Source organism: Homo sapiens, chromosome 1 (assembly GCF_000001405.40).
Source record: "Homo sapiens chromosome 1, GRCh38.p14 Primary Assembly".
NCBI classification, from domain to species: domain Eukaryota; kingdom Metazoa; phylum Chordata; class Mammalia; order Primates; family Hominidae; genus Homo; species Homo sapiens.
In genome coordinates, this window is record NC_000001.11 from 43,381,309 (window position 1) to 43,401,568 (window position 20,260).

The following is a 20,260-nucleotide window of genomic DNA, read 5'->3' on the forward strand; positions in this document are numbered from 1 at the left end:
TGGTAACTTACCATCTCTTTGATGAATCTTCACTTAGAGAAAGATGTTTTAGAAAACAGTTTCAAGGTTGTGGTCTACAAGGGTGTTGGTATGTTAAGGTGTAGGTGACAGCGAGGGAACTTCAGGAACAGTTTATAGGAGTCTGAGGGACTTGGGGGCTTATCTAGGAAAATTTTGGCCTATTTATGTAACAGTCATGCACCAAGGAAAACAAAACAAAACAAAATGCCTGGGGATAAATGGGTTTGAAAATCATTGCCACAGACTTTAGACCTAAAAAGGATCACTGGGATCACCAAGTGAGAAAACTGAGGCTTAGGGAAGTGAGATGCCTTGTCCACGATGTACTTAGGGAAGCTGCCATGTCCAAATGGCATGTGACTCATTGAGAGACCACAACAGGAACCCAAGAGCTGCCTCAGTGACACATGGAGCTCAAAAAAAAAGAGAAGTTAAAGGGAAGAAGAAAGGAACTTTGTCTTGTGGGACAAAACACATGCTGAAGTGATGGGGCACCATGGTCCCATCAGATGCGTTGGAGTTTGCCTTCTGTTCCAATCATAAAGCCCCATCTGCACAGTGGCAAGCCCTTTCCAAGGGTTAGTCCCCATGTGTTTGAGGTTTCCAGGCAAGAGCCACATCGAGCCTCCATAAGCAGGCACTGTGAACCCTCAAGACTGAACAGAAAAGGACCACATCCCCTGTTCCTACTCCTGGCCCAATGCTAAACTTCAGTAGGCTATTCCCCTAATTCTGGAGCAGATAGGAAAGGCAGATGGAAGAGAATGTACACTCCTTCGTAGTTCATCTGGACAGTAATCAGGAGCTGACCCAGGGTGGGCGTTTGGAAGGACTCAGCCTCCGTCCTGCCTGGTGCTGGGATCAGCTTACACAGCTCCTGTGTCCACAGGGCACAGAGAATACATTGTCCATAAGGAGGATTATTCTGTACAAGAAGCTCAGACAAAGGGAGAGGTTGTTTCCAGCTGCCTGGGGGAGGTGAGAGGGGGGTGGGAAAAGGGACCAGCCTTGCACTGGGGCATTCCTGCAGAGTTCAGCTTCTTCTCTGTGGCAGCACAACAGGAGGTGGGCAATTACACCCCCTCCAGCTCAATCCTAATGCTGGGACCCATTATGGAGTTCTAAGGAGCACTTGGCTACAACCTATCTATCTTGGCTGTTTCCCAAAAAACGACAGGGTTGAATGAGGTACACCAGCTAAGTAGGGCAGCAATAAACACCAGAAGGGGAACAGAATGGGGTGACTGGCACAATGAGCAAAAGAGAGGTTCAGCAATGACTGAATCCCAGGCTCAGGGCAGAGCTGGAGAGGGAGAGATCCTAGGCAATGGGCCTTATGCTGACATTGATTGGATAAGCTTCCGCCTTCAGCAGGATGAACTCTGTCCTGTAGTAAGCTCTTGACGTTTCACAGCTGCTGCTTCTTTCTCCATCCTAGACACAAACCTAGGAGACAATGGCCTAATCTCTTTCTCCAGGGGACCCAAGAATAGGAGAAAGCACGATCTCCAAGCAAAACAGGACAGTCAAAAACAGAGGAATGTTACCAGAGTAGGCCAATAGTCACCTTTTGCAAATCCTAAATCTGAGCCAGTAAATAGGTCATGTCCCCTTCTTCAAAGGAAAACTGTATATGTATTCCCTCCTGAGGGAATGAGTATGTTAGGGGTGGGAGATACATACTCTCTATTGAGGCATTTAATAGGCTGTATGGACCCCAAAGTGGGAGACACTACTGAGATTTGTGTACTCCAGATGATTTGAGGATGGGGGATAAAAACGACAGCATGTGCTCCTACGGTGATGAATGTAGAGGAGTCCCTCTAGAGGAAGGAGTGTTTGCTTAGGGGAACAAGATGTAGGTGACATCCTGCATATGTTCCTGTTGGGGCAAGAGGATATTTCCATTCTTGGATGACAAGGAATCCATTTTAATAGTATGGTGGGGATGAAGTCAGTATTTGCCTGGGACACAAAAAAACTTGGGGTTGGTGCCATTCAATAGGAGGGAATCTTTTGGTGGAGTAAAGGACAATAGTCACCAAAAGATGCTCCAGGAATTTCAGAGAAGCACAGCTCAAACTCTACCCAATATGCCAGTTAATACTGACATTTCCAGTGGGAAGGGAAGAGGTGAGAAGATAACACCTGAGTGGGCTGATGAGCCGGAACAGTTTAAGTGGGGGAAAGGTCTGGCATTGCCTTAGAGCTGGTGACCAGACTCCCCTACTGCTATGTATTGTGGTCAGTGAGCTTTGTGGATACCATTCCTCACCTTGATGGAATGGTAACAGATGTGACATCTGGGACCACTTTTCCAGTCCTTTGCTGCCACAGCCTGGCAGAACTTTGTTTGGCACTGAACAAATGCCAAAGTACCAGTGTGTGACAGAACAGAAAAAAGGCAGCTGGAAGGTATGAGCAGGAGGGAAGTTTCAGGATTTTTAGATCAAAGCTAATTAAAGATACGGAAACTTTTTTATGGAGAACAAATTAGAACTGCCTTGCAGCACTCTTGAAACTGCCCCTCTGATCCCTATGTAGTGCTCTCATAAATTACTGTCAGACAACCCTGAGCCAGTGAACATCAATTTAAATAACTTTATTCAGAGGAATCCTTTGGTCCACTTCTGCTGACTCAACCCCTGCCCATGCCAACAAAGGAGTACTAAGAAAGGCAGGTTAGCCTGAATGTCTAAATTCAATTTGTTCAACTTTATAAAAGCAGGCAAAGCTACTGGGGGTTGCCCCCTCCCACCATCATTCTGGTCCACCATTTGGGCCACAGGCTTAGGGAAATGAAGGAAAGTCGTTTTCTTTGAAGGAAATCCTGGCCAAAGTCGAGAAAGTGGGCACCATTATGAGGTCAACTAAACCCTGATGGCAGTGTGAAGTGCAATTCCCTTCTCCCTCCAAAATAAGAAACATGAATCCAGGGGAAGGGGCTTTTTCGTGTGCTAAGGAAAAACCCTTTCCCACATAGTCCTGCCTGGCAGAGCCACTTCCTGAGAAAGCCTCGTGTGTATAAGGTGGGGTAAAGGATAGGGGACTTTATGACTATTTGACAGGTAAAAGCCAAGTTGGCTCCTTAGAGGATGGAAAGGAGAGCAGGCCCAAGCTTCACCAGAGCTGCAGGTGGGCATTTTTTTTTCCTTCCTGGCCCAGAAGCTTCTTCACCTTGCGCCTTAGAGGGATAGCCAGAATGAAACCCAGGCAGGAGGGCCTGCAAAAACAGTGTGCCTCTAAGAACACAGAGGTTGCTACAGTTTCTGGCAGCACAAAATAAGCATAGCCTTATTTGATCTTGTGTCCATCAGCTCACCATTGACGTGAGGCAGTATCAGATTAGGGTAAGTTCTGGATCAAGGACTGTGGAGGGTGGTGGGGAGAAGGATCTGTAGAAACTATCATTTATTGAATACCCATTATTTCATATACTGTACTAAGTGCTTTACATTCATTTCCTCATTTTAATCCTCACAACAACCCTATGAGGTAGGTATTATCACCATTTACAAATGAGAAACAGGCTCAGAAAAATTAGGTCACTTGTCCAAGGTCACACAGCTAGTCAGTGGTGGAAGTGGGATTTGTCTGCTGCTGAAAGCCCATGTTCTTTTTATTGTACCCATCTAGGTGAGCCTTGAGCAAAAGGTAATTTCACTGCCCAACTCTGCAAAGAGCACCAGGGAGTCGAGGTTGCCAGCCACACTCACCGCTGGTAGGGATGCATGGAAGCCGACTTGATGTTGGTTTTTATTCCACTTGGCATTTTCCCTGAAAGGAACATTAAAAAAGTCATCTTAAGCAAGGTAAGACTTTCATGACAAATCAGAAATGTGGTACCTCAGGTTCCCTCTGTCACTTCCTTTATCATCTCAGAACCTCTGCGGCATCTGACCCTGTTTGACAGAGGTCAGAAGTATGATTCTTCACCCAGCTGTCTCCCTGAAGGTGTCCAGGAGGAAAGAAGTGACATGGGAGAATAGTCTGTTCATCCACTCCTAGAACAGATAGCTAAACCTGTGTGACTCCCATTTAACGTCACAGGTAAAAGAGTACTATGTTCTCTCATTGTTTTTCTTTTTTTATATCATAATAAGTGCAGAATCTCTCTTTAATTGTCCCTTTTCCTAGACAGCTTGGAGGAAATAACTCTTCTAGCTGCCTGCATCTAGACTGTTCTAAAAATGAGTAGGAGAGAAGGCAGGAAGCCAAGAGCAAGAGAGGCAGGATACAGAGAAAAGAATACATGTAGGACTGGAAAACTGGCCTGCGTGTCAATTCCTGATGCACCTACCAAATGGTCTTAAGATCTGACTGCTGATTTCTCTACCTAACAAGAGACACTGACAACATATCTAATACCAGAATAAATGGGATAGAAGGATAGTTGACACAGAGATGTGAGATGCGGATGAGAAATTGGAGCAGTTTCTGTTACTCAAAGTTCTTCCTCACTCTCTGGTGCCTGTTGCAGAGTCTCAGATGAGATTTTTTTACTTCTGAAAATTATTTCCTGGGTCACAGTGAAAAGGAGAAATAGAGAAAACCTCTAGGTCTAGAGATGCTGGAGGCCCAGATAATCTAGCTTATTCCCTCCCACTCCTGCTCAAAGTCAGCTTCATTTCAACCCCTGCCACCTTACCTGGTTGACCTGCCTGAGCCATTTGTACCCCACTGAGCATTGGCTGCTGCTGGCTTGGAGCTCCTGCCATCTGCACCTGCTGTAATCCTGAGGTTCCTGCAAGGATCGTCCCAGCTCCTGGCTGGCCTGCCTGGCCAGGACCACTGCTGCCTGAAGGTCTCCAATTAGATAGTCCTTTCCCAAAGGCAACAGCTGCCACCAAGGCATTAGTGTCTGTAGGGTTAAAGGTCTGCTTGTTCGGCCGGAGACCTGAAGAAAAAGTAATGGGGATCCTGAAGTATGCTTCTGATGCAGGACTGAACGTGGCAGCTGGAAGACCAGTATGAGTGCCAGGGTTTGGAGTTCTGAATTCAGCAACATCTAGACTCCCTCACAGCCCAGAAAAAGAGCCAGAGGACCCCCAAGCCTATCTCAGAATTCTCTCTTCTTACTTTGCCCATTTCCTCCACTGCTTCAGTGCTGGCCTTAAATACAAAAGGCTAACAGAATGGATACAAACCCCAAAGCAGTTCACCCTTGTGTCCTAACTTCACTACTTCCAAAACAACCATTCCCATTCCAGTGATCTTATATACCTCTCCTTCTCTGTTTAGCCACCAGTCCCATCATACCTCCACTCTCTGATTCTCGCTCCTCTTTGCTGATTTTCTCCAGAAGGTTTGAACACATTTTATTCAAGCTCTGGATCTGCTTCTGTAACACACAAATTTGTGCAGAGATTAGGGTAACTAGGAAACGATATGGAGAAATTTATTCCTTGGGTTCTGCCAGAAGCAACTTAGGCGCAACCAACTATGTATCCCTACTAGACAGGAATGGTAATGCCTAGCTTCTCATGATGGGATGGGGATGGGGCAGCAAGGCAGTGACTCAGTCCAACCTGGGCTGCATCTGCACCAATGCGGGCAGCATCTGTCGTCAGTTGCTTCTCCTGTTCTTCCACTTCAGGGTCAGGCTTGGTTCTCAGATGGTCAGGGACTACCTCATGGCTGAAAACAGGCACCCGTCCTTCAGTCTGCCGCTGTAACACACAGATTTTATTGATCCTACTCTGTACTCCAAGAAGATTCTATCTGGCCTGACATAAAGTCCCATCCACAGGCAAACAGTGCATTTTCAAGGAAAATACAACCTGAGACATAATATCTAGTTTGCTAGGACACACTCTCCTTTACTCCATCCTTCATTTTTTGTGTCTTCTCACATCCCTATCTCTACCAGACCTAGGGGCAAATTAAACTATCACTGTCTGCCACGCTTCAAAGACTGGAATAGACAAAGTCACAAAAGGGCAAACTTTGTGGCTTGAGACAGATGTTGGAGAAGAAAGGTATCAGCCTTGGTGACATACCCCTCAGGTTATTACAGCACTATTTGGGAGTGGCTCTCCCGCCTTCAGAAGAACAAAAAGCAAGGCCTCCAAAATTATTTCTAGGCTCTCAGCTAATAACTTAATTTCCCTAAATACTAAAGAAGCCTAAAAAACCCCTTAATTTCCCAAGTTGTATTCTTTTTCTCCTCTTACCATGAGATCTTCATCTCGGTCTGGAGACAACACCAGAGGAATGATGACCTGGTTACGGAACAGCGGTGTTTTTTCATGCTTCAAGACCTTGTTCAGAGTGTTCAGCTGTCCAGAAAGCAAGGCAAAGCTGTCCAGGACAGATGGCCTGGTGGTGGTAACAAGGTGTAAGAATGTTGTACCCCTTCCCTGGGTGGTTCTTAGTAAAATAGTCCTAGTTCCTTCAGGCTAGGAACACTTGGATTCACCTCCAAAAGTCTCATAGCCCTATGACTAGCCTAAGTGGGAACAGACTAACAGGGATGACAGGGCTATGAAAGAGGGACATAGTTTCAGTTTATGAAACAGACGTAGAAAAAACCCAGTTCATTGTTTGAATGGGGTGAGGAACAGTGGCAAAATAGGAACCAGGGCTACACTGTTATAACTAAAACTTCAGAAACCGGGTAAAAGCCTCCTTTCCAGCCTGGAAATAAGATCCACACTTCAGAGTAGGTTGGCTCTAAAAGACTCAGCCACATCTGTGGCAAGAGATCCAGCACGAATAGAGCTGTAGTGGGAGGACCTCCTCACCAGAGAAGTCAAAGGGTAAGAATTGAAAGCTAGAAAGAACTTGGGTTAGGAAACTGAGCATTTCTCTACTTCCTTGCCATGGAATCCACTTGCTAAATGTTAGGAAACCCAGCTCTTTCCAAATCAAAAGATGTTTGCAAACTGATAAATGGTTACATCATTAGAAATGTCCTATTCATCAGGAGGCTAGGCCCCCCCACCCATAAGCCCTTCCTAGCTTGCCCTGGTAACTCTTACCAGGTCAGCCGGCCATACTCGTTCTCCAACTTGCAAATGAAACTCCCCAGAGAGTTCTTCAGATCAGCCACTTGACTCAGCAGTGCATCTAATGATGCCTCAAGCTGCTTCTCCTCTCTCTGCACCAATAGGAACAGGTTGGTCACCCAGATAAACGAGTATGACACATAGAAAGGAGGGCTGGAAAGCCAAGGAGATGGTGTGCAACACCAGTCAGGTAACACAGGATCTCATTGGCATAGGATAGCCAGGTTGTTTTCTATCTTTGGTATTTGGGTTATAGACAGCATCAACCCTGAGACCTTCCAACCTGTTTGCCTGACCCCAAGTCCTTCCACCAACTGATTCCTTTTCCCCATCACCTCCTAATCTATGCCTGGTTTTTCTCTGTGTTAGGTACACCCTACACTCCCTCACTGAGACATTTTCGACAGACCTAATGCCAGGAGATCATTCTCTCATGTGCACCTCTGTAGCACATGCACTCCAGCTTCCTCCATCCTAGCATCTGTGAGCCTGGCTGTCTTGTCAGTCTCTGGGAAATCTGCCTACTCATGAAGACTTCTCTGAACACCAGTCCTGCTCTCCCCTTTCCCTCCCCCAACCAACGACTCCAGCTTTCCATCTGCTCTCATCATTTTGTTTCAACCTTCTCCTTGCTGAATTAATATGCAATCATCTATCTCTGTGTCAATATTCCCGTGCCTCTTTCACAAGCTCAGTCAACCCATTAACATTTATTGAGACTACCAGCTGCAAGAAACTAAGTGACAAATGAAAAACAAAAACCACACATGCTTCTAAGCACTGGACAAACAAATTAAAATGCTGGGGGTCTGCAAAGCATTTCCTTCCCATCGGTGGTCTCCTGTTTTACTCCATTTCTTCACCCTTAACAACTATAGGGCACAGGCTGGGAAGAGGGATGCAAAACTGTCTTGCAAACCTGCCTGACAGAAACTTGATCCCGGGTTCCACCATGGCCTCTGATTATAAGCTGCTTAGCTTTCAGCCATCGCGGCCCACAATTCCCTCACTGCTTGGGCTTCTTTCCAATTAGATCCCCTGCTATATCGGCAACCAACAGCCTCCATCCAGCAGCTTAGGACAGGGCCTGAGCCAACCCACCACCTTCTTGAGCCGTCTTCCTTGGACTGCATCTCAGCCTCCCCGTATTACAACCTAATCCTTTCCCACGCCAAGCAAACAGGTGCTGCCTCCTCCCTCCGGATTTAGCCCGACTGTCTCCTGTCAGGCAAGCTCCACCCCCACCTCTAATCGCCGCCGCTCCCGCTCCAATTAGCCTCGCCCCCCAGCCCACATTCCCTTATCAGCCGTGGGTTCTGCCCTCTCTTCTCAGTCCCAACTCTTCATTCTCCTTAGCCAGCCCACTCTCGGTCCCTGTACCCGAAGCTTGCCAGCCGCTAGTACGCCCAACGCAACTCTCACCTGCATTGCGGCGGCCGAGGCGGCTGCCACGATTTCACTTCCGGTTTTCCAGTCAGCAAACGCCTACGAGAAGGCTTCGTCCACCAATCAGAAAACTGGAACTCGGCCCTCCCACCAACTTCCGGTTCCTGCTGGGTGCCGAGGTAGCGAGGTCAGGGGTCAAGAGTGGAACACCCTCACTGGCCCGGGCCGGCGCGGGAGGGCTGTGTGATGGCCTCGGAGCGCCCGGAGCCGGAGGTGAGGGGCGGGCGGGCGCAGCACTGGGCCCCGAGATCCGAGGGGGAGGGTCCGGCGGGCAGGCGTGGCGTTGGCCTCCTCTAGGTCTGGGGGTGGCCGGGCTGCGTAGCCTCGGCAGGGACCAGCCCAGCCCGGAAGGCCCGACTATGGTACCCCTGCGGACTGTGTATGGGACGCGGTCCGCAGTTTCCTCGGGGAGCTAAAGGAGTAACTGTTCGCTTTGTTTTGTTTACTGACATGTCACCCGCGTCGTCGTCTCTAAGACTTATAGCGGTGTTAACAAAACTTGTATTTTGACTTTCTGTTGCAGTTTCAATGGGCAACACGGCAGTAGATTTACTTTGCTGGTTTTTGCATTTCTTTAGGCATTGGAATACCATAAACAGCATGAATTTATTTAGTTCTAGGGCTCATGCTTTTAGAAAAGCAGCTTTAATTTCATGAAAAAAACATTTGAGTCGGACTGAGACCTCGTTCCAATATTGGCGCTGTCATGTAGCTAATCTGTGCAACCTCAGGCGAGTCTTCCCGGATCCTGTTTCCTTCTTTATAAAATATCTGTCTTATAGTGTGTTGTGAGAATCACATGTAATAAACCAGAAAGGTGATATGATATATTCGTTAAATGCTAAGGAACATGCAAGGAACCTTATATATGTTGTGTCATTCAGACTTGTGCAAGGAAGGTGGCATTCTCACAGAGGAGAAAACTGAAAAATGAGAAAGATTTAGTACCTTACTCAAATGCCACTCATCCAGGAACTAGCAGTTTGGAGTTAGAAGATCTGAGCTTAAAATCTCAGATTCGGATAAAACACCACCACCAGGAAAGGTGCCAACATATCAGTAGGTGGGAAGGGTGAGAGATGTGTATAATGATAGAAATAGTATTCATTACTGCATACATACTGCATGCTCAGTACCATTCTAAGCTCTTTACCAATATCAGTTAATCCTCAGCCCTATGAAGTGGACACTGTATCATCTCCTTTTTTTAGTTTAGGAACTGAGGCACAGAGATATTAAGAGTAACAAAGTAAGCCGGGCGCAGTGGCTTACACCTGTAATCCCAACACTGGGAGGCCGAGGTGGGCAGATCACCTGAGGTGAGGAGTTCGAGACCAGCCTGACCAACATGGAGAAAGCCTGTCTGTACTGAAAATGCAAAATTAGCCAAGCATGGTGGCGCAGGCCTGTAATCTCAGCTACTCGGGAGGCTGAGGCAGGAGAATCGCTTGAACCCGGGAGGTGGAGGTTGCGATGAGCTGAGATCATGCCATTGCACTTCAGCCTGGGCAACAAGAGTGAAACTCCGTCTCAAAAAAAAAAAAAAGTAACAAAGTTACACAGCTATTAAGTATTAGAGTCAGGACTCCAAAACAGATGGCCAGGCTCCAGTCCTTGTGTTCTTAACCATATTGTTCATGGTATAAGTAATAAAGTAGCCACAGAATGGTAAATCTCCAGTTCACTGGGATTTGGTGTGGTAAGACCCAACATTGAATATGGTGGTAGGAAACTATGCCTTATTTAAAATAGTCATGTTCACAGAGGTGGTAGAATAGCTCATGCATCAGAAATATCAATCAAGATCAATCAGAAATATTAACACAAGAAAAACTATGAAACAGTTTAGAGGATGTTTCATTATAGATTAAAGTGAAAGGAGGTGGAGGGATGTTGTGGGGAAATGCAACATACCTTTTAGGCAGATAGTCTAGGACAACACCGTCCTGTAGAAATCTAAAGCAAGCCACATGTGTAATATTAAATTTTCTGATAGCCACATAAAAAAATGAAACAAGGCCGGGCGCGGTGGCTCACGCCTGTAATCCCAGCACTTTGGGAGGCCGAGGCGGGCGGATCACGAGGTCAGGAGATCGAGACCATCCTGGCTAAAACGGTGAAACCCTGTCTCTACTAAAAAAAATACAAAAAATTAGCTGGGCGTGGTGGCGGGCGCCTGTAGTCCCAGCTACTCGGGAGGCTGAGGCAGGAGAATGGCGTGAACCCGGGAGGCGGAGCTTGCAGTGAGCTGAGATTGTGCCACTGCAGTCCAGCCTGGGCGACAGAGCGAGACTCCGTCTCAAAAAAAAAAAAAAAAAAAAAAAAAAAAAAAAAAAAAAAAAAAATGAAACAAATGAAATAAAATGTAATTATATATTTAACCCAAAACTCCCAAAATTTTCAAAATGTAATAAAATACAAAACATCGTGAGATATTTAACATTTTTTTTGGTACCAAGTCTTTAAAATCTAGTGTTGTATTTTACACTGATAGCACATCCCATCTTGGTCTAGCAACATTGTAAGTGCTCAGTAGCCCCATATAGTAGTCTTTACCATATAGAGCAGTACAGATCTAAAGTAATTTCAAGTCAAGACACACAATCCTGGGAGTCTCAGCCAAAAGTTAAGCTTTTTTTTTTTTTTTTTTGAGACGAAGTCTCGCTCTGTCGCCCAGGCTGGAGTGCAGTGGTGCGATCTTGGCTCACTGCAACCTCCGCCTCCCGGGTTCACGCCATTCTCCTGCCTCAGCCTCCCAAGTAGCTGGGACTACAGGCGCCTGCTACCATGCCCTGCTAACTTTTTGTGTTTTTAGTAAAGACGGGGTTTCACCGTGTTAGCCAGATAGTCTCAATCTCCTGTCCTCGTGATCCGCCTGCCTCGGCTTCCCAAAGTGCTGGGATTACAGGCGTGAGCCACCGTGCCCAGCCTAAGTTAAGCATTTTTTAACTCCCTGATTTGCATTTCTGAAAATTTTATCAGAAGGTAAAGAGATTGAAGAGTTCTGCCCCTGGGTGTAATAAAGTTATTGACTTTTAGAGGCTGTTAGGATCCCAAGAGAGAAAGATTGGGTATAGTCAGATTTAGGAAATCATTCATTCATCACACACTTGAAATATTTTACGAGTGCTGGTAGGAGTCAGAATTGTGCTAAGTATCAGGGTGGATACAGAGCCGTGTAAGACAGACATGCTCTCTATCTTTATGGAGTAAACAAGGATTGAATTAGGATAATAAGTGCTGTAAAGGAGTGAATTAGGGTGTTTAACAGTGGTTCTCAACCTACCTTGTTAAGAAATGGGGAGGCAAGGGGTTGTGAATAGGAAGACTCAGAAGAATGACATTTAAGCTGAAGCCTGAAGAATAGGTAGAAGTTTTCTAAAAGAAGAGGCAGAGAGCATTGCAGGCAAAGGGAATAGTGAAGATCTTCAGGTGAGAAGGAGCCCAGTGGAGCCTTCAGAGAACTAAGAGGAAGCAACTCCTTGTGTGGATGCAGTTTGACAATGAGAATAGCTAGCACTTACTGAATGCTTACTGAGTATCATCTGATACTCAAAAATTATCTGAAAATAAGCACTTTTATTATCTGTGTTTCACAGATGAGCTAACTGAGGCATAGAGAGTGTAAGTCTCTGCCAAAACTATATAGTTAATAATCAGCAGAGCAAGCATTTGATCCTAAGTGCTCTAACACTGGAATACATGCTTTTAACTGCGTGGGGATTGGTGAGAGATAAGGCTGGAGAAGATGCAGCTTGAGGCCATGCTAGAGGCTCAGGACTTTGATGTATAGTGGTAAGAAGATTTTAGCCAGTTCAAGAGGGGAAATAATCCACATTATTTTGTGGGAATGTGTTAACAAAAGACAGCACAAGGGTTAGAAAAGGCTGAACAAATCAGACCTTAATCACAAAGGGACAGGCACAAAAAGACAAAGCAACAAATTAATGAGATGGACCATGCTTCATTCTTCCTGGTATACATGGTATGCAGCACAGTGCCTGGTAATGTTTTATTCATCTTGGTATAAATGGTATGTAGACCTCAATAAATATTCCAAAGAATGATAGCCTTCCTCTCCTGTTTAATTGCAACGACATCCCTATGAAGATATTCTTATCCACATACTATCAATAAAGAAACCGAGGCTTGGAAAAATTAAGTAACTTGTCCAAGGTCACCTATATAGCAAATGATAGAATCAGATTTGAATCCAGGTCCCTGACCCCGAAACTCTACTTTGTCTTCCTTGCCAGACTACTCTGAGAGTAATGAACTTCAGACTCAAGGAGGATTCATATGAGGACTTGAAGCTCCATGTGAGTGTGGATGCTCTGAGAACTAATTCAGGGATTCTCAAATGTTAATGTGGAAGAATCACTTGGAGACCTTGTTAGAATGTAGATTCTGGAGCCCATCAACTCTTTTTTTTTTTTTTTTTTTTGAGATGGAGTCTTGCTCTGTCGCCCAGGCTGGAGTGCAGTGGCGTGATCTTGGCTCACTGCAACCTCCACCTCTCAGGTTCAAGCAATTCTTGTGCCTCAGCCTCCTGAGTAGCTGGGACTACAGGTGTGAGCCACAGCACCCAGTCTGGAGCCCATCAACTCTTAATTCAGTTGGTCTGGGGTGGTGCCTGGGACTCAACGCTGTATTTTCATAAGCACTTCAGGTGATTTTTCATGCAGCTGGTCCTTGGATCCCACTTTGAAAAACACCATTCTAGCTGCTTAAATTATTAAGTCTTCTAGTTATGATAAATTACATCTTGAAAGTGAAGAGAACTTAGAAATGATGTTTTGAAAATATAGTTGTTGGGCTGGGCGCGGTGGCTCATGCCTGTAATCCCAACACTTTGGGAGGCTGAGGCGGGTGGATCACCTGATGTCGGGAGTTTGAGACCAGCCTCACCAGCATGGAGAAACCTCGTCTCTACCAAAAATACAAAATTAGCCGGGCGTGGTGGCGCATGCCTGTAATCCCAGCTACTCGGAAGGCTGAGGCAGGAGAATTGCTTTAAATCCAGGAGGTGGAGGTTGCGGTGAGCCGAGATGGTGCCATTGCACTGTAGCCTGGGCAACGAGAGCGAAACTCCATCTCAAAAAAAAAAAAAAGAAAAGAAAAAGAAAATATAGTTGTTGACTTTGAAGGATCATATGTAAAGGGGGATGTTGCAAGAAGACTAGGCAAATGTTCAGCAAATGTTCTTGATTTCAGGAAGGTGGATTCTGTAAGAACTGATTGATGAGCTAGACTTCATTGTGCCTTTGGAGAGTCAGTCCATCATTCAAAATAACCTTCAAGGAAAGGTGGGAAAAAATGGAAGCTGTACAGTAGTAAAATTTAGTGGCCTACTAACTGGTAATTGGAAGAAAGCTTTCTAATAGTCTGTGCCCTCTGTCTCGTTTACCCCCATTCTCTCCTCACTTAACAAACCTTGCTCAACCTTCAGCATCACTTTCTCTTAAGGTATTAGCCTGAACAGGTTACTTTGTTACTTGCTTGCTTTTTTGGGAGGAGGGGGAGGTCAGGGAGTGGGGCAGGGTCTTGCTCTGTCATCCAGGCTGGAGTGCAGTGGTATGATCATGGCTCACTGAAGCCTCAACCTCCCTGGGCTCAGGCGACCCTCCCACCTTAGTCTCCTGAGTAGCTGGGACTACAGCCACATGACACTACACCCAGCTAATTTTCATAATTTTTTGTAGAGACAGGGTTTTGCCATGTTGCCCAGGCTAGTCTCAAACTCCTGAGGCTCAAGTAATCCGCCCACTTTGGTCTTCCAAAGTGCTGGAATTGCAGGCATGGGCCACTGCACGTGGCTGTTACTTGTTTTTGTAGAACCACATTCTTATCCTTCGGAGCACTTACTCAGTGTGTAATTATACAATAGTCACAGTGATTATTTGATCAATGTTTTTGTCCTTCACTATAGAATATGTTTTATGAGAGCAGGGAATGCATGTGTTTGCTTTTCATTGTATCATTAGGACCCAGCCCAGTGCCTAGCATGTACCAGGCTTTTCATAAATTTGTTGAGTGAATGCATGCATGCTTACCTTGCCTTTGTTCTTTTTGGAGTTCGATGAGGACATGATGGCACCCTGAACAAGTTAGCATGGAAATCAAACTGGAGAGATTTAGTAGAAGAAGAAACAACACTCTTAAGCTTCACCATAAAATAATAGGCTGAATTTATCCAAGTGACAGGACTAATTGAATGATCGTATGTGTCCAAAAAAGCCAGGTGCATGAGGATAAAATGGGAGATGTGTTTGGACAGCAGCACAAGTGAGAAAGTCATGGAGGTTTCCTGAGCAAGTATAACCTAGGAGAATCTGAATCTGTGACCTCATTTGAGTATTATGTTCCATTCTGGTCCCCACATTTTAAGTTGTAAAGTAGACCAGCCAGAATTCATTCATGGGCACATAATCTAAGATATAAAATAGTGAGGAAACTTGAAACCATGCCATTTGAGACACACTTAAAGAACCCAAAGATGTTTGTTTTAGAAAAGTAAAGACTCAGGGCTGTCATCACATGTTTAATAGACTCTCGTTTGGCAGAGGGTCAGATTCTCCCTGTGTGGCCTTAGAAGGTAAAACAAAAAGTGGGTTAGATATTTTCAAGACAACAGATTTTAAGAGTAGGTCAAGATATTATCAAAAAGACAGATTCTGGCTCTATGTGAGGACATTCCCAACTCTACCAACTAAACAGGTATGGGCAAAAAAAACAAAGAAACAACACTGAAGTGAATGGCTGTGCAGGACTTCTGACTCAAAGAAGAGAGGTAAACAGCAACACTTTGTTATTACTAATCTGTGCATTTATACACGTTACTTTTTACAAGGTGCTTTCACACATCATTGGGCTAGCTGGTATTTTTACACAGGAGGAAGCTCACCCAGAGTCTTAGCTGTCAAATCACAACACTTTCTTTCTGTAACACTGTTCTTTCTAAAACAAAGCTAATGGAACATAAAGCAAATCTGTTAGAACCCCCATTTGCACTCCCCCAGGGTTCCAGGAACAATAAAGAAGAAGATACTAGTGAAAATGTGGTAAAAACGATGTTTGTGGAAGCAAAGGAAAAACTCCAAAAATAGAATAGCTTACCTTGTCCATAAATGATTGAAAGATGAAGTGAATAAAGGACAGGAACTCTTCGTCAACAAAAACCATGTTGATAGAAGAGTGAAAAATTAGAAATTATTGGTAACAAATTAAGAATAGCTGGAAACAGAATAAATACAGCTTGTGAGATTAGTTTTCCTTGTTCATACATGTATTCAACAGTTATTATTAGAACACTTAGTATGTCTTGGCACTGTGCTAGGCTCTAGGGTTACAGCAAGAAACAATGTATAGGCCAGGTGTGGTGGCTAACACCTGTAATCCCAGCACTTTGGGAGGCTGAGGCCAGTGGATCACCTGAGGTAGAAGTTCGAGACCAGGCTAACATGGCAAAACCCTGTCTCTACTGAAAATACAAAAATTAACTGGGTGTGGTGGCACGTGCTTATAGTCCCAGCTACTGAGGAGCCTGAGGCAAGAGAATCACTTGAACCAAGAGGCGGAGGTTGCAGTGAGCCAAGATGGCACTGCTGCACTCCAGCCTGGGTGACAGAGCGAGACTCCATTTCAAAAAAAAAAAAAGAAAAGAAACAATATGTAGACATGGCCTCCACCTCGCTGGATCTTCAGACTTATACAGGAAACAAACATTAAAGTATACAAATTCTTTTTTTTTTGAGATGGAGAGATGGATGGAGTCTTGCTCTGTTGCCCAGGCTGGAGTGCAGTGGTGCAATCTTGGCTCACTGCAGCCTCCACCTCCTGGGTTCAAGCGATTCTCCTGCCTCGGTCCCCTAAGTAGCTGGGACTACAGATGTGCTCCACTATGCCCGGCTAATTTTTGTATGTTTTGGTAGAGGTGGGGTTTCGCCACATTGGCCAGGCTGGTCTCGAGCTCCTGGCCTCAGGTCATCCACCCACCCCGGCCTCCCAAAGTGCTGGGATTACAGGTGTGAGCCACTACGCCCGGCCCCTACAAATTCTTAATTATAAACTCTGGCAGGTGTCATGAAGAAAAAATACAGAGTGCTGTGTGAATGCCCAACATAGGACCCTAACTTAGTGCAGACAGTCATGGAAAGGTTCATTTATTAAACCTAGATTTGCCGTGATTTTAGTCCTAGAAGATGAGGTGACCACGTGCCCAACTCTGTCCTTATAGTGCTGACCCACAACCATGTGCTCTTCCCCTTTTAACCCTGGCCTTACGTGGGCCAAAACGCTTTTCCTTGGTTTTTCCTTGCATAGCTGAAACAGGCTGGCATTTGAAAACAAAAAGTATTTAGTACCAAAGAACAAAAGGAAAGTAGTGTTGACACTAGTGTTAAGGTGATCTCATCTTGAGAAAAGTTGTACTAATTATGATTAGTTTTAAATGTCCAGTTTGCCGTGCTTAGAACATATAGCGAGAGGGGAAGAGGTGGTGGTGGGGAGAAAAAACCATAGCGAATTCACTTATTTAGAGAAATGTTATTGAACATCCTATGTGCCAGGCACTGCACTGGGCTCTGGAGACAGAGTGATAAACAAATGACTGCTGAATTAGGATAGCCTTCCTATTCTGATAATGCTCTGAGCCCCAAACCATCCCTTAACAAAAAAATTCTTTTTTAAAACTCCAGTAAGTCTCTTGTACATGCTTTTTTAGATAAGAACTTTGGCAGTATCCAGCATAGTCAACACATAATATCCCACCCACACTAGCTAAGTCAAACCTGAAGGAGAGGTTGCCTGGTTTAGTATCCCACCCTAAAACCAAGGATCAGAGAAAGAAAGGGTGAGTAATTGCTGTGATTTCCTTCTTTGCCAATAAATAGACCCCTTTTCTGTTTTTAGGAGCATGGCGATAAGAGTGTACAATTTGATGGGACTTTTCGATGGGGTGTGGTAGTCAGGAATAACTATCTACTTTTTGTAGCTAACTTAGAAATCATTTTGCAGTAGGTTGGGTGCGGTGGCTCACGCCTGTAATCCCAGCACTTTGGGAGGTGGAGGCGGGCAGATCACAAGGTCAGGAGTTCGAGACCAGCCTGGCCAATATGGTGAACCACCATCTCTATTAAAAATACAAAAAATAGCCAGGCATGGTGGCATGCCCCTGTAGTCCCAGCTACTCAGGAGGCTGAGGTGGGAGAATCGCTTGAACTGAGAAGGCGGAAGTTGCAGTGAGCCGAGATTGCGCCACTACACTCCAGCCTAGGCGACAGAGCGAGACTCCGTCTCAAAAAAAAAAAAGAAAAAAATCATTTTGCAGCGTATTGGTTTCCAATGCTACTTTAATCATCCTTGATACCTTCCTTTTTGTTACTTTCCTCCTATGTCCTGACTTATAATTAATCACCAGTTCTTTTCTGTCCTATCCTAAAGATCCCTTGAAATACAACTAAGTTCACTGTTTAGTTCAGCTGACTTTTTGTTTTCCATAATAAGACTTTCACCGTGAAAGATAGTGGTGGTTTTGCATCCTGGCATTATCTCATCAAGACCCAGTCTCACACAGTTCACAGAATGGCTACTTTGAGTAGCTCTAGTCTAAGCCACTGTCATCTCCCCTAGTTGTTAGTCTGCGGTGGGAGGGTGCTTTCTAAATCACACAGTAGCCAGAGGGAATTTTTTTTTTTTTTTTTTTTTTGAGACGGAGTCTCGCTAGGCTGGAGTGCAGTGGCGTGATCTCGACTCACTGCAAGCTCCGCCTCCCGGGTTCACGCCATTCTCCTGCGTCAGCCTCCTGAGTAGCTGGGACTACAGGCACCCGCCACCACACCCAGCTAATTTTTTGTATTTTTAGTAGAGACGGGGTTTCGCTGTGTTAGCCAGGGTGGTCTCGATCTCCTGACCTCGTGAACCGCCTGCCTTGGCCTCCCAAAGTGCTGGGATTACAGACGTGAGCCATGGTGCCCGGCCACCAGAGGGAATTTTTTTTAATGCAGATATAATGTTACTGTCTTGTGGAATTCCTTTAGTAGCTTAAACTCACTCAAAGGATGAATCCAAAATCCTAGCCAGGACCTGTCTCAACACAGTGTTGGAAAGCAGTGTAACAGAGAGTAGTATCTCCCAAGGTGTAATTTCATTTTATTATTATTTTTATTTATTTTTTGAGACAGAATCTTGCTGTTTTGCCCAGGCTGGAGTGCAGTGGTGTGATCATAGCTCATTGCAGCCTCAACCTCCCAGACTTAAGCGATCCTCCCACCTCAATCTCCCAAGTAGCTAGGACTACAGGTGCTCACCACCATGCCGAGCTAATTTTTGTATTTTTTTTTTAGAGATGGACTTTCACCGTTTGCCCAGGCTGTTCTCAAACTCCTAGGCTTAAGTTATTTGCCCGCTTTGGCCTCCCAAAGTGCTGAGATTACAAGTCTGAGCCACAGTGCCTAGCCCCAAGATGTGATTTTAGATGTTACAGAGAGAATATAATACGCAAGTGCAACATATTGATATTTAAATTCTCTTTTTATCTTTCTGATTATGTCAAAACATCCTTTCTGCTCATTACCCCCATTGTGCTCCTTTTCATGACTTAAAATCTCTTCTGCTCATAAGCCCTCAGTTTTATCCATTTGTCACTCTCAGTAGATGGGCTTTTGCAGCTCACCAGGCCTTGGTTTGACTTCTGAGCCTACACTTACTACTTACGTTGAATCACTTAACTTTTTGGACCTCTGTTTTCTCCTGTTAAATGTTTTGTTGTGAATACTGAATGAGCTTACTTAGGTAAAAAACTTGTATAGGGCAGGCGTGGTGGCTCACGCCTGTAATCCCAGCACCTCGGAAGGCCAAGGCGGGTGAATCACCCAAGGTCAGGAGTTCCAGACCAGCCTGGCCAACATGATGAAACCCAGTCTCTACTAAAAATACAAAAATTAGCCGGGCTTGGTGGCGGGTGCCTGTAATCCCAGCTACTTGGGAGGCTTAGGCAGGAGAATCACTTGAACCCAGGAGGCGGAGGTTGCAGTGAGCCAAGATCGTGCCACTGCACTCCAGCCTGGGCAACAAAAGCAAAACTCCGTCTCAAAAAAAAAAAAAGAACCTAGTATAGTGTTGTAATAGTTAACTGTAATAAATAGTTAACTTTTTTTTTGGACAGGGTCTCGCTCTGTTGCTCAGGCTGGAGTGCCATGGTGCCATCATGGCTCACTACAGTCTCGACCTCCTGGGCTCAGGTGATCTTCCCATCTCAGCTTCCAGAGTAGCTGGGACTACAGGCACGAGCCACTACGCCTGGCTAATTTTTGTGTTTTTAGTAGTAGAGTTGAGGTTTCATCATGTTGCCCAGGCTGGTCTTGAACTCCTAGGTGCAAACGGCCTGCCCACCTCAATCTCCCAAAGTGTTGGGGTTATAGGCTTGAACCGTTATGCCCAGCTGTTATTGTTAACTTTTACTCTTACCAGGCATTGTGCTGAGCACTTCATATGCATGATATTCCTTGATCCACAGAACAGCACTTTAGATTGGTATTAGAATTCTCTATTTTACAAAGGAGGACATTGAAGCTTAAAGAGGTGATACAACCTTTCCACTGTCTCACAGCTAATAAGTGGATGAATTGGGATTCAAACCCAGACTTTCTGAACCTGAAATTCTTGAACTTGGCCTCTACAGAGTACTTTTTTTTTCTTACTTTTTATTTTATTGTATTTTTTTGAGATGGAGTCTCACTCTGTCGCCCAGGATGGAGTGCAGTGGTGTGATCTCGGCTCACTGCAAC

At 45.1% G+C, this 20,260-nt stretch overlaps 2 protein-coding genes and 1 long non-coding RNA gene across 6 annotated transcripts in view, besides 2 other annotated features; 2 read left to right on the forward strand and 1 right to left on the reverse strand.

Annotated features, from left to right (window-relative positions):
• Nucleotides 1-2,608: 2,608 nt before the first annotated feature.
• Nucleotides 2,609-8,492, reverse strand: MED8 (mediator complex subunit 8). 3 transcript variants are annotated; one of them, NM_052877.5, is made up of 8 exons: nt 8,451-8,492; nt 7,002-7,120; nt 6,195-6,339; nt 5,550-5,690; nt 5,281-5,362; nt 4,670-4,918; nt 3,738-3,798; nt 2,609-3,244 (listed from the first exon to the last, which is right to left on the reverse strand). In NM_052877.5, the coding sequence occupies exons 1-8, from the start codon at nt 8,454-8,456 to the stop codon at nt 3,142-3,144; spliced, it is 906 nt and encodes a 301-aa protein (NP_443109.2). In that variant the 5' UTR covers nt 8,457-8,492; the 3' UTR covers nt 2,609-3,141. The 3 variants fall into 3 exon arrangements, with proteins under 3 accessions (NP_443109.2, NP_963836.2, NP_001001653.1); NM_201542.5 differs by having other exon boundaries at nt 2,609-3,798; NM_001001653.3 differs by having other exon boundaries at nt 2,609-3,798; nt 6,195-6,321; nt 7,002-7,181.
• On the forward strand, nt 3,741-4,418 carry MED8-AS1 (MED8 antisense RNA 1). The gene is made up of 2 exons (XR_001738027.1): nt 3,741-3,833; nt 3,976-4,418. It is a non-coding gene; the product is annotated as an MED8 antisense RNA 1 (long non-coding RNA).
• Nucleotides 7,002-7,141: an enhancer, noted in NCBI's record as "active region_918". NCBI's record gives its function as "activates an Ori minimal core promoter by ATAC-STARR-seq in GM12878 lymphoblastoid cells {active_cell/tissue: GM12878}" and the evidence as "EXISTENCE:reporter gene assay evidence [ECO:0000049][PMID:35858748]".
• Nucleotides 8,582-8,911: a silencer, noted in NCBI's record as "silent region_783". NCBI's record gives its function as "represses an Ori minimal core promoter by ATAC-STARR-seq in GM12878 lymphoblastoid cells {active_cell/tissue: GM12878}" and the evidence as "EXISTENCE:reporter gene assay evidence [ECO:0000049][PMID:35858748]".
• Nucleotides 8,591-20,260, forward strand: part of SZT2 (SZT2 subunit of KICSTOR complex) — a 64,349-nt gene continuing 52,679 nt past the window's right edge. For both annotated transcript variants that reach the window (NM_001365999.1, NM_015284.4), the window contains exon 1: nt 8,591-8,687. In NM_001365999.1, coding sequence (NP_001352928.1) covers nt 8,661-8,687 — 27 coding nt within the window. In that variant the 5' untranslated portion in view covers nt 8,591-8,660. The remainder of the gene's footprint in view (nt 8,688-20,260) is intronic.